Source organism: Homo sapiens, chromosome 6 (genome assembly GCF_000001405.40).
Source record: "Homo sapiens chromosome 6, GRCh38.p14 Primary Assembly".
In the NCBI taxonomy this organism is placed as follows: Eukaryota; Metazoa; Chordata; class Mammalia; order Primates; family Hominidae; genus Homo; species Homo sapiens.
In genome coordinates, this window is record NC_000006.12 from 134,173,569 (window position 1) to 134,185,828 (window position 12,260).

Below are 12,260 nucleotides of genomic sequence, written 5' to 3' on the forward strand. Positions count from 1 at the left end.
AGAAAAAAAAAAAAAGAATTTCTTTTAATACCATTGCTTCAAAGGAAGACATCTATAACATAAACGATGTAGAAAATGTTACATCTACAAATGACTGATGCAAATGACCATACATCTATAAACATTCAAAACTACATTTCATCACATTTCAAATGAGTATGGAAACTGCACACAGTCATGTTGTTTCAGACAGATAAAACCTTTTTATGAAATATGCCTTTTAAAATAACCACTTTGGAGGTAAAATATGCCCAGGAAAAAAATAAAATAATACTCTGACTCAATACTTAAATATTTATATCACTTGTTATGCCATAATGAAGCATTCCTGCCTTGATACTAATTTCTAGAAATGCTATTTTAATCCATTAATGTAGGAATACTAACTGACTCCCTTACAGTTCTCCACAGATGCACGGCACATACAAAAACTTACTGGAGGAGAAGGGTTGGCATTCATAAGCTCAGGCTCCTGAGGTTGGGAGATCTTCAAGATGGACTGAACTTCAGGGCTGCAGGGAATAAAGGGCACGATTTAGAATCCAGCTCGCCACTAGGGGGCACACCAACATCAAAAGTGAGTTTCTGGCTCTACCGACTTCTACCCGGATAATTCACTGTTTAAACTGAAAATACCCCAATACATTAGTCAGTTAAAGAAAATAATAAACCCCATTAAATACAGAAATAAGGATTGTTGCTCATGGAGAAAGGCCGTGAATTCGGCCAACACGAACCATTTATCTTACATCTCCAGTTCAAGCCAAATCAGCAAATTAACTTTAATGTTTAAAATGTGTCAAATATATTAGAATTTAAGGAGAAATGAGATCCCCACCCCAGAAGAAGTCTTCGCCTTCCCGATAAACGCCGTGATGAGAATGTTTACCGCTGGCAAATTCAAACTATACTAGTTATTTCCTCAAATCCGGTCAAACTTACTGTTTGCATGCATAGGAGTTATTGGCAATCTTCTGAATAAAGTCGTTCAGACCCATCCTCCTCTGCTTCATGAAAGCTGTGGATGAAGGAGGAGAAATAAAGAAACGTTTAGACGGCTTCATAACGTCCGGCGCCACACACACTAATCTGATCCGGGACTTTCAAAAAATTTCCACTTTGCGTCTCCTGGAGCAGAAGTCCCGCAAGATTCCTGCACTCACCGATGAGAATTGCCACCATGCCCCTCATCCTGGAGTAAGTGAGGGTGCCCTTAGCAGCCTCAGTTTTCACCGTCATCACCACCGCGGGGAGACAGAAAGACGTTAGCGCTCAAAGACCGGCTCGGCGTATGCTGCGCCAGGCCGCGCGCTCGGCCTTATAAAAAAGGCACCGCCGCGGGGGCGGGGCCTGCGCGACAGTGAGAAGTGGCCCCGCCCTTCGCCTCGCCCCTCGCCCCGCCCCGGCCGCCTCGCGGTTTGCTGGCGGCTACGCTGCCTGCGGCGGGCGGTTCTGTCCCCATTGAGAGGGCGAGCCCCGGGCGGGGGCGCGAGGACCGCCCGGGGACGGCCTGGCGCAGGGCCGTTATCAGTCTCCATCGGCTCCTGGGGCAGGAGAGAGAGAACGCGCCGGCGGAGGGCGCGGGGAGGGCCGGAGAGCCCGGGGTAGTTTTCCACCTCTCTCATTTATTCCGCCGCCGGAGAAAGCCGGGTTCGCAGCGCCGAAGCGCTTCCCGGCGGGTGCGCGGCGGCCACGGTGGCTTCGCTCACTGTCCCTGCAGATACCCTCTCCCCGGCCAGGCGCCGTCCTGCGGCCGGACTCCCACCCTCCTCCCCAACCCGAGCCGGCGGTGCGCGCCACCCTCCGGGGTTTATCCCTGGGGCGCAGGCCTGCGCGCGCGACCTCGCCCGCCAGGTCCTCCCGTTCCCGCCGCCGGGACCCCGGCCCCGAGAACTCCGACGAAAGCCGGCCCCTGCCTCCAAGCCGCTCTGGGGAAGTGAGCCAAGCCCCCAGCGGGGCCGGCGGCGGCGCTTACCCAGTCCGCTCAGCAGGAAGGACTCGCTCCTTTTCTGCGCCTCGGCCCTCTTTTTGTGGCGGGGCCGCAGCAGGGACTCGAGCCGGGCTCTGGCCAGCGCGCCCTGCATCTCCCCCATGGGCAGCGGGCGGCGGGGCGCGCGGCAGACGAGAGCGACCGGCGAGCACTGACGTTTCCTTGAAGGAGCCGCCGTGACTCAGGCCGGGCAAGATTTCCTGCCCCGAGTCCCAAAACAAACAAATGGCCCTTGTGCACGGTCGGGTCGCTTCCGAAAACGCCTTTTTTGTGCTTTTGGCCAAAACCAAGCAAGGCTGAAAAATCCCAGAACTTGGAAGAGGAGGAAGGAAGGAAAGAAAGAGGGAAAAGGGGGAGGGAGAGGTCAGGAATGTGGAGGGGAGGGGGCGGAAATAAAAGTCGTCTCTGCACTAAAGGAAGAAGTACAATCTGCATTTCACTTTTTTTTTTCTGAAGTAATCTCTGAGAACATTTTGTCCGTTCCGCATGTAATTTTTTTCCTTGCATTTTTAATCTCTGCCATGCCAAGAACACGTGAGGAGGTAACAAGCGAAGGGAGGGGTAGCTTTGCCCGGGGGCAGACCTGGCGTGAACCGGGCATCCTCGATTCCTCTGTGGGGCCTGCTCCTCTCCCGCTGTCCCACCTGAAAACCCTGCAGGTCATGATACATGGTCTTAAAATCGTCCCTACCCTCCCTGGGTTTAACTCAAGGCTGCCCCAGGGCTTCTTAGTTTTGCCACCTCGCTCGCTCTTTATGTGAGTCCCACATAAACTGTGACTTTATCCTGAAAGATTAGCCGGGTGACTCCGCTGCAGAAGGCAGGGAAGAGAGGGAAGCTCGAGGCGGCGGCCCGGGCTCTGCAGAACAGCGATGCCGGTGCCTTCCAGTAACCCCGCGGCTGGGGGATGTCTGGGAGCCGCAGCCTGACCGCCGGCGCGGGGACGTGAGCCAGTGCTGGCCGGGAAGCCGCGAGCACGGCGACTGGGCCCGGAGCGGGCAGTTACAAGTTACCACTATTCGCAGGGCCAGGTACCTGGCGCTCGCTGTTGCTGTCTGCGGTGGCTGCCCTGCCATGACCTCTTGCTACCAAAGGCTCTGCCATTTTAAAGTTGCCTACTGGATCTGGCACAGTCCCGAAATACCAGCTGTCAAACCAGGAATAGCATGTGAAACGCCTTTTCCTTGGTCTTGGGCAGGGGTTTGTTTTGCAGGCAAAACCACCCCCACTTGCCCTAAAGTGAGCTCTAGTCTCAACTCCTTGGTTTGCTTTGTTGCAACAGCCCCAAACCGAGAGAAGGGAAACACATTCTCTCTCCTGGAGTCTGGCTGGGAAAGTTTGCTCAGTGCCCACACTTATAAAAAGCATTTACTGGGGCCGGGCGCAGTGGCTCACGCCTGTAATCCCAGCACTTTGGGAGGCCAAGGCGGGCGGATCACGAGGTCAAGAGATCGAGACCATCCTGGCTAACATGGTGAAACCCCGTCTCTACTGAAAATAGAAAAATTAGCCAGGCGTGGTGGCGTGCGCCTGTAGTCCCAGTTACTCGGGAGGCTGAGGCAGGAGAATCGCTTGAACCCGGGAGGCGGAGGTTGCAGTGAGCCGAGATCACGCCACTGCACTCCAGCCTGGCAACAGAGCGAGACTCCGTCTCAAAACAAACAAACAAACAAAAACAAAACAAAAACAAAAACAAAAAAAACACTAGTACCTGAAATTGACATGCCAACCTAAAGCAATGTTTAGGCAATTTCAAATCACAGTAACTGGCCCATGTCTGCTTCCTCTTGCAGGGAATCTTCATAGAATGTGACTTTGTTATTGCCAGTGCCACCCGTATGTCATGTCCCACCATTCAACTAGCCTAGCCCAGCCTAGCTCTGCTCCCACCTGGTTCCTTTCCCTCTTGAGAGAGCAAATTTTGCTCAGGCTGCCCAGAAACATCAACCTGCACACAGACTTTTGCATGTTTGTTTTCAAACATTAAATTAAGAAACCTACAACCAGAGACCCTCTCCTACACCCCACCTTATGTGCCTTCCCCATGCCAAGTAACCCCAAATCCTTTGAGGCATCTGCAAAATATAGTACGGTAAGTACGAACCTTTCAAAGGGGGTTTTATAGCTTCTTCTTTCATTCTTCGGGTTGCCCAAGGATATGCAGGTTGGGGATTACTTCTGGAGGCTGGAGGTAGAGCCCAGTTATGGCTGGAATAAGCCTCCCTGCTACATGCCTCTGATAAGCTGGAACTCTGAGATGACATGAGAGCACGAGCCAGAGACGGCTATCCCTGTTCTGTTATGAACCCCACTTTATATCAAGGCAATTTAAGTACAGGAAGGGAGCAAGCTGCAAAGTTCAACACTGGGCCATTTATTCTCCCCATTGCGACATCACTCAGAAAATTACAGTCATCAGTGTCCTAGCTTTATTACACCCCCAGCACGCACACAAGAAATGTAACTTAACTGATTATCCTCACAAATCAGTCCGGAAAAAATTCAAAACACATGCACAGGATTTATTTTCTCAGAGGCTCTGTGGCATGCATTCCGGGAGGAACGTGGCATTCAGGTCGGAGGGTTCTACGCGGAATAGAGAATAGATGCAACCGTATGATTTGTGGTTGGAAAAGAAAGGGAACGTCTGATGTGCTCCTTCCTCCCCTACCCTAATGTTCAGCACTTGGAGACGGATGGTCGGCTAAACTTATCATTTAACCGAGAGAATCAAGTTGTTGAGACTGGCTTTTCTTCCAACCGGATACGTGATGGGTGGAGCAGGCGCCCCCTGTTCTGTCCCAGCAACCTACTAAGACTTCCGAACAGGAAGGTGACACACGGCGGAGGGGTGCTTGAGGGGAGGGGGAGACGGGGGAGCTGTGTGTGACGCGCGCCTGTTAACACTGCACAGGCATTAGGTTGCCCTGTAGCTGCTATTCAAACTCTTGATCTGTTCTTCCTTCCTGTCGCCAGCCTCTTTCTTTGGTCCAGATAGTCCTCCTACTGGGAGGAATCCGGCCCCTTTCCTCATACTCCCTGGTGGCGAAGTGGTCCGAGTAGCCTCCCGAACTGTTTGTAAATGCAACCTAGAGGGCGATCGAGTTCTCTGGGAGAACTTGCTCCATATACGCGTATACGCGGCTTCCCCCACTTGTCTCCTGAGGTTCTATTGGTCCAGGGAATTTCTCTACAACACCTTGTGCAGTCATAGAAAATATAGACGGCTTGATAGGAGATAGGCTAATTACCTCCCCACTCCTCCAAGCGAATTGTCTCACATTTATGTCTCGGTGCTGGGAAAACTGCAGTCAAAACCCTCAAGTAGGAATGACTGACCAGGATGAAAAGTTTGCACTGAAACTAAACGTTTCCCAGTGCATGTGCATTTTAATGCTTCAGAAAAAATTTTTTCACTCTTCTATTTTATTTTTTTATTTCTTTATTTGTCACTCTATAGTCTGATGGACTATAAATGCTAAAACCTGAGAGCTTCACAAAGATATGACTTTTTCCATTTAATTTTAAAAGGCTTATAAATTATTGATATTTCTCAACATATTAGAGAAAATATTTTGAAAAATATTTTTTATAAGGACTTAACCATATTCACTCTTAAGACACTTCTTAAATGTATCAGCTGTAATTGTCATGATTCCCCGGGTATGTTATCTTCCATTGATAACAAGGCAATATAATTGTTTCATATTGTTCAAAGTACCATCAATTTTAGAACAATCCTATGAAGAGTTTAAGTTCCCATACTTTTTGATTCATTGTTTGATGCTCACAGAAACCTTTCCCTGGAACACCCTCAAAAAAGCTCATAGAAATACCAGAAAACATAATTATTATAATTATAGAAAACATAATTATTACTCTAGAGAGAAACTGAATGGATCAGTTTTTGTTGAAGGTTGTCAGCAAAGGCATGTCTTTTTTTTTTTTTTTTTTTACAGAAAATGATGATGACAAATGAGTTTATTCATTATAGCTATTATAGACAAGTCACTGGCAATGGTGGTTATTTAAATGTCTATTTATAGACACAGGTTGTATAGTAATTATTACCTTCCATATTCATAATTGTCAAATTTGACATGCAAAAAGATGTGATACAGTAGATAACTAAGAGAACACTATCTCTAATCATAGTGTTAAAAGTTATTAAAACCCACAAAACTAATTATTTCATTTATCGCAGGGTTTATATTTTTTCCAAGACAGAGGTGATAATATTCTACACCCATTCCTTCTAAAAAGTGAGCCCATAGGAAAATTGACGGGAGGGTAGGAACAAGATTTGGTAGTAAATTTTTTATGTCATTCAGGGGATAAATTAAAGAGAAGCCAGTGGGAATACTTGACATGGGAGGAATGAGAAGCTTTTTTTGTTTGTTTGTTTTTGTTTTTGACATAGAGTTTCACTCTGTTGTCCAGGCTAGAGTACAGTGGTACAGTCACAGCTCACTGCAGCCTCAACCTCCTGGGTTCAAGTAATCCTCCCACCTCGGACTCCTGAGTAGCTGGGACCACAGGCACATGCCACCATGCCTGGTTAATGTTTTTATCTTTTGTAGACACATGGTCTCACTGTGTTGCCCAGGCTGGTCTCAAACTCCTGGGCTCAAATGATCCTCCTGCCTCAGCTTCCCAAAGTGCTGGGATTATAAGTATAAGCCACTGCGCCTCACCTGAGGAATGAGAATCTACATAGCAAGAAACAAACAGATCTTTCTCAGGCTGAAAACTTACCCATCTCCATCTTGGCAATGTTGTCAATGTCTGATTTAGTATAATCCAATCAATGATTAAAAAAACAAAACATCAGCTAGAATGCAATATGATAGGTAAGGAATTGTATGTATGTGACAACTTTATTTTTGGTTCTCAGGATTGACCTGGAAAATGGTGTCCACAGAACTTTACATAAGATTATGAAAAATGATACATTGGTCTGGACAGAAGAGTAAATTGGAAAAATTTGTAAGTCAATATTTAATACTATTGGTAAACTCAAGAGGACTGTGGTGGCCAGGTGCAGGGGCTCACACCTCTAATCCCAGCACTTTGGGAGGTTGAAGCAGGAGGATCACTTGAGCTCAGGAGTTTGAGACCAGCCTGGGCAACATAGTGAGACCCTGTCTCTACAAAAAATACAAAAATTATCCATACATGGTGGCACGCCTGTAGTCCCAGCTACATGGGAGGCTAAGGTGGGAGAATCGCTTGAGCCCAGGGTGTTGGAGGTTTCAGTGAGCCAAGATCTTGCCACTGCACTCTCGCCGGGGCAACAAAGTGAGATCCTATCTCAAAAAAAAAAAAAAAAGGACTCTGGCCTTATATTTTTGGCATGCCTTTACTGTTAGGCATTTGCATTTTAAAAGGCCACTTGTCAACTCAAAAAATTTAATTTGCAATGATAAAATGTCAAGCATTCAAACAAGAAACAGGTCTGAGAGCTTTGGGGTGAGAGGCCTCCCGCAATATCTGGCCTGGTCGGCCTCCTCTCCATTCTCTCCAAGGTAAAACTACGTGGGCATCTACTTCCCCCACAAGTCCAGCAGCCAGAATCCTTCCTAAGACACACATATTAAAGGTGTAACTGACACGAAGGCAATATAAAGGGCTCTCTTTCACCCCCACTTTATTTACAAAGGGCCAATAGTAAATAAGGAGTCTGGATTTCTGGTGGACATCTTTTGTCAAACTAAAGTGAAACCTGAAAGCTTTGATTTGCTCAGTATAAATCTCTCTCCAAGTCTCTCCCGTTTGTTTTCTTTCTTTCTTTTTCTTTTTTTGAGACGGAGGAGTCTTACTCTGTCGCCCAGACTGGAGTGCAGTGGCGTGATCTCAGCTCACTGCACCCTCTGCTTCCCTGGTTCAAGCAATTCTCCCGCCTCAGCCTCCTGAGTAGCTGGGATTACAGGCACGTGCCACTACTCCCAGTTAATTTGAGTACTTTTAGTAGAGATGGGGATTCACCATGTTGATCAGACTGGTCTCGGATTCCTGACCTCAAGTGATCCACCTGCCTCAGCCTCCCAAAGTGCTGGGATTACAGGCATAAGCCACCATGCCCGGCCCAAGTCTCTCCCATTTCTGAGCCTATAATCAATCTAGAAGGAGGCAACAGAAGCTCGGGCCACCCCTAAGGACTTAAGGACTGTTTCCTGTAAACTCTGTGTGCCAGTTGTAACAACAAAAGATACATGTAATAGTAACCAGCAATGGAAAAACCAGTTATGGGGATGTCAGTCTAGTTGGCGACAACTGAGGCTTGCTACCTGTGAGTTTTTTTTGTTTTGTTTTGTTTTGATATGGAGTCTCACTTCATCACCCAGGCTGAAGTGCAGTGGCGCAATCTTGGCTTACTGCAACCTCCGCCTCCCAGGTTCAAGTGATTCTCATGCCTCAGACTCTCAAGTAGCTGGGATTACAGGCACCTGCCACCACGCCCGACTAATTTTTGTATTTTTAGTAGAGACAGGGTTTTACCATGTTGGTCAGGCTGATCTCAAACTCCTGAGCTCAAGTGATCTGTCCTCCTCAGCCTCCCAAAGTGCTGGGATTACAAGTGTGAGCCACTGTGCCTAGCCATACCTGTGAGATTTTAGACAAGGTATTCTCTAACCCTTAATCTTGTCAGCTGTATAGCGGGGAGAGTTATACCTGCCTCATATAAGTTGTGAAAAATAATGGAAATAGGCCAGGTGTGATGGTTTATGCCTGTAATCCTAGCACTTTGGGAGGCCAAGGTGGGTGGGTCACTTGAGGTCAGGAGTTCGAAACCAGCAGGCCAACATGGTGAAACCCCGTCTCTACTAAAAATACAAAAATTAGCCAGAAATCACTTGAACCTGGAAGGCAGAGGTTGCAGTGAGCTGGGATTATGCCACTGCACTCCAGCCCGGGCAACACAGCGAGACTCCGTCTAAAAAAAAAAAAAAGGAAATAAAGAATTTAGTAAGCGCCTCTCTCATGTTGGAGTTTTAAGTAGAAAATATGATCTGTGTATATTTGCCAGCCCCACCCTACGCACATCACAAGTACAAACAACACTGTCGCACAGTGCAAAGGGTTCCAACAAATCAAAACAATACATCAAGTAATTATGGGCTGTGAGTAAGGCACTTGCACAGCATGGGCCACTTAATCTGCTGGGCCAAGGCGAGGCCTATGTGACAGGAATTCCGTGAAAGGCCTGAATGATAATCCAACCTCCCCCTCCTCCATTCAGTCTCCCTCACAGACAGTGCTCCTGAATGTGCTGTATCAAGAAACGAAATGCCATGATTACTGAATAAAGACTTGTTTACCAAGTGTTTGCAGCAAAGACTGAAGTTTAGTGTGAAAAAAGTGGAGAGCAAACCAAAACTAACTCAAGAAAGTTTTTACTTGCTCGAGGAAACAACAGAAGGCAAATATAGACCTATTGAGAGGGTGGAGTCATTGAAAGAAGATCAGAGGCCAGTCATACTTATCGTGCTTTTTCTAGGTCAATAAGCTTATCCTGCAGGAATGAGAAGAGGAACAAGATCCAGCTGAACCTAGCCTCTGTTAGTTTTAATCATTCAGATCTCTGTGGTGCACCTCTTTCATTTACTGATTTATTGTATTGATATAAGTTGATGAACATATTTTGGGGTAACATGGTATTTTGAAACATGTATACAATGTGTAATGATGAAATTAGGATAATTGGGATATCCGTCATCTCAAACATTTATTTTTTCTTTGTGTTGAGAACATGCTAATTCTTCCCTTTTAACTGTTTGGCAATATACAATAACTTATTGTTAACTCTGATTTCCCTACTGCCATATCGAATGCTAGAACTTATTCCATCTATCTAGCTGTACTTTGTACCCATTAATGTGAATGGGTTCTTGACAGGCACTGTCTTAAGCCCTGAATCTAACAAGGATGTCATGATGGGCAGCGTTGCTGTACTCAGGGAGGGTGTGGTCTATATTTTGTAAAATGGAACTGCACGTTCCCAAAAGCAAAGGTGAGCTTATAGACATTTCTGATTTTCCTCAGGCCCCGCTATGCCTTAATGTCATTAAAGTACAGCCTTGGGCACGTTTGATCATTTAGATTATCTAGTTTTTCAAGTGAGGAATGTGCTGGAAAGTCTTCTGCAGCTCTGATTTTGTACAGTTCTATGATGTCTGGGAAAAAAAATAAACCCAGAAGGAACTTCTGGAGGCCCAGAACTACTCTCCTGGCATGGTTTCCTATAATAATGTCCCACACCCAGCTGATCCTTTAGAAGAACCTGTCCCCACCCCACCCCCACCCCCCACCCCCGGCATTGGATCCTTCGGTCAGGAATTTGTGTGCTTAGTTATTTAAATCTCAGGTGTTTCTCTGGACCTTGAGTTCCCTGAAGGCCAGGCAGCACAATTTGTGTCTCTCACCTGCCTAACATTCTCTAATCAGGTCGCTGCCTGCCCCTCTGACCTCTCCTCCTACCTTCTCCCTCCCTCCAGGTTTGTACCACTGTGGTGCTCTCTGTTCCCTTTGCAGGCCAAGCTAGTGTCTGCCCGAGGGACTTTGTCTTTGCTGTGCCCTTCACCTGGAATGCTTTCCTCCTCAGGCTCACATGGCTGGCTCCTTCTTGTCATTCGGATCTCCCAGTAAATATCACTTACAGGCCGGGAGCAGTAGCTCACGCCTGTAATATCAGAACTTTGGGAGGCTGAGGCGGGCAGATCACGAGGTCAGGAGATCAAGACCATTCTGGCCAACATGGTGAAACCCCGTCCCTACTTAAAAAAAATATATACAAAAATTAGCTGGGCGTGGTGGTGCGCGCCTGTAGTCCCAGCTACTTGGGAGGCTGAGGCAGGAGAGTTGCTTGAACGCAGGAGGCAGAGGCCGCAGTGAGCCGAGATCACATCACTGCACTCCAGCCTGGGTGACAGAGTGAGACTCCATCTCAAAAAAAAAAAAAAAAAAAAAAAAATCACAGTGACGCAGTGGACCAAAAGTAGCCAGCAGCTGACCTTTCTTTGTCATTCACTCTATTTCAATTATCTGCATATTAGTTTTATTATGTGACTTTTTCTGGGTTTATTGTTGATTTACCCAACTAGAAAGTAGTCTCTATGAGATAGGGATATCATGTTTGTTTGTTTAAGACAGGGTCTTGTTCTGTCCCGCAGTCTGGAGTGCAGGGCTGTAATCACGGCTCACCACAACCTCTGCCTCCCGGGCTCAAGCAATCTTCCCACCTCAGCCTCTCTAGTAGTTGGGACCACAGGTGTGTGCCACCATGCCTGGCTTATATTTTATATTATTTGTAGAGATGAGGTCTTGCGGTGTTAGCCAGGCTGGTCTCGAACTCCTGGGCTCCAGTGATCCGCACACCTAAGCCTCCCAAAGTGCTGGGATTATAGGCATAAGCCACCGACCCTGGCCGGAATAATTATCTATATTATTTGCCACATCATCCCTGGTGCCCAGGAGAGGGCCTAGCCCACAGGAAGTGCTTGAGAAATAAAATGCTTTCATAATGGTTTGCATTAAACCCCCTCTATGGACGATATCATATGAATTTGGCTTATAGAAAAGTATGCCATTGTAACCTGTTTTACTCTTGTCATCCAACCAACTTTCCTCAAGAACTTTAGAACTTTTCTTCCTGCCAGGGGATGACACAGTCACCTCATAGACTGTTTTCTTTCTGTCTTGCAGCCATGAAGTTCTCCATAATTTTTGTATTGCCAGAAAGCCTGAATGAACATTTAGCACAACCCCCTTCTACTTTATATCCCTTTATATCCTCCCAAAATAGCCTTCTCTACACAATGATAAGGACTTGATAAAAGGGCCCCTATTGTGCAGTCCCAGCCTGGACAAAGTAGTTTTAAAGCCATAGCAGAATGGCCATCAGGTTGTCAGAAATGACAAAAGCCACAGCACATATGCAAGTGGTACAAATGCTTAGTGCCAAGTTAAGATATGAAACTACACTTTCATATCTCTATGAGTGTGTGTGTGTGTGTGTGTGTGTGTGTGTGTGTATTAGTTTTCTGGAGAGACAAAACCAATAGGATATATCTAGAGGGAGACAGAGAAAGAGATGGAGAAAGAGAAAGAGAAGAGAGGAGATTTATTAGGGGAATTGGCTCATACAATTATGAAAGCTGAGAAATCCCATGGCAGGCTGTCTGCAAGCTGGAGACCCTGGGATGCCACTAGCATGGCTCAGTCCAAATCTGAAGAACTGAGAATCCGGGGGCTGCTGGTGTAAGTCCTAGCG

General features: G+C 46.7%; 1 protein-coding gene across 5 annotated transcripts in view, besides 5 other annotated features; it reads right to left on the minus strand.

Moving 5' to 3' along the window:
* SGK1 (serum/glucocorticoid regulated kinase 1) overlaps window positions 1–12,260 on the minus strand; it is a 148,857-nt gene that overhangs the window by 4,313 nt on the left and 132,284 nt on the right. For 2 of the 5 annotated variants that reach the window (NM_001291995.2, NM_005627.4), the window contains exons 1-3: window positions 1,164–1,298; window positions 943–1,018; window positions 437–512 (exon numbers count right to left, since the gene is read on the minus strand). In NM_001291995.2, coding sequence (NP_001278924.1) covers window positions 437–512; window positions 943–1,018; window positions 1,164–1,239 — 228 coding nt within the window. In that variant the 5' untranslated portion in view covers window positions 1,240–1,298. Of the gene's footprint in view, window positions 1–436; window positions 513–942; window positions 1,019–1,163; window positions 1,299–1,975; window positions 2,147–4,094; window positions 4,294–12,260 lie in introns of those variants that run through there. The other 3 variants (NM_001143677.2, NM_001143678.2, NM_001143676.3) reach the window with 3 other exon arrangements.
* Window positions 1,247–1,646: a silencer, noted in NCBI's record as "silent region_17557". NCBI's record gives its function as "represses an Ori minimal core promoter by ATAC-STARR-seq in GM12878 lymphoblastoid cells {active_cell/tissue: GM12878}" and the evidence as "EXISTENCE:reporter gene assay evidence [ECO:0000049][PMID:35858748]".
* Window positions 1,247–2,036: a biological region, named in NCBI's record as "H3K27ac hESC enhancer GRCh37_chr6:134496091-134496592".
* Window positions 1,385–1,886: an enhancer, noted in NCBI's record as "H3K27ac hESC enhancer chr6:134496091-134496592 (GRCh37/hg19 assembly coordinates)". NCBI's record gives its function as "activates a minimal SCP1, AML or CMV promoter by ChIP-STARR-seq in naive H9 embryonic stem cells {active_cell/tissue: H9 hESC(naive)}" and the evidence as "EXISTENCE:reporter gene assay evidence [ECO:0000049][PMID:30033119]".
* Window positions 1,757–2,036: a silencer, noted in NCBI's record as "silent region_17558". NCBI's record gives its function as "represses an Ori minimal core promoter by ATAC-STARR-seq in GM12878 lymphoblastoid cells {active_cell/tissue: GM12878}" and the evidence as "EXISTENCE:reporter gene assay evidence [ECO:0000049][PMID:35858748]".
* Window positions 1,963–2,257: a silencer, noted in NCBI's record as "tiled region #71; HepG2 Repressive DNase unmatched - State 1:Tss". NCBI's record gives its function as "represses a minimal TATA promoter and a strong SV40 promoter by Sharpr-MPRA in HepG2 cells {active_cell/tissue: HepG2}" and the evidence as "EXISTENCE:reporter gene assay evidence [ECO:0000049][PMID:27701403]".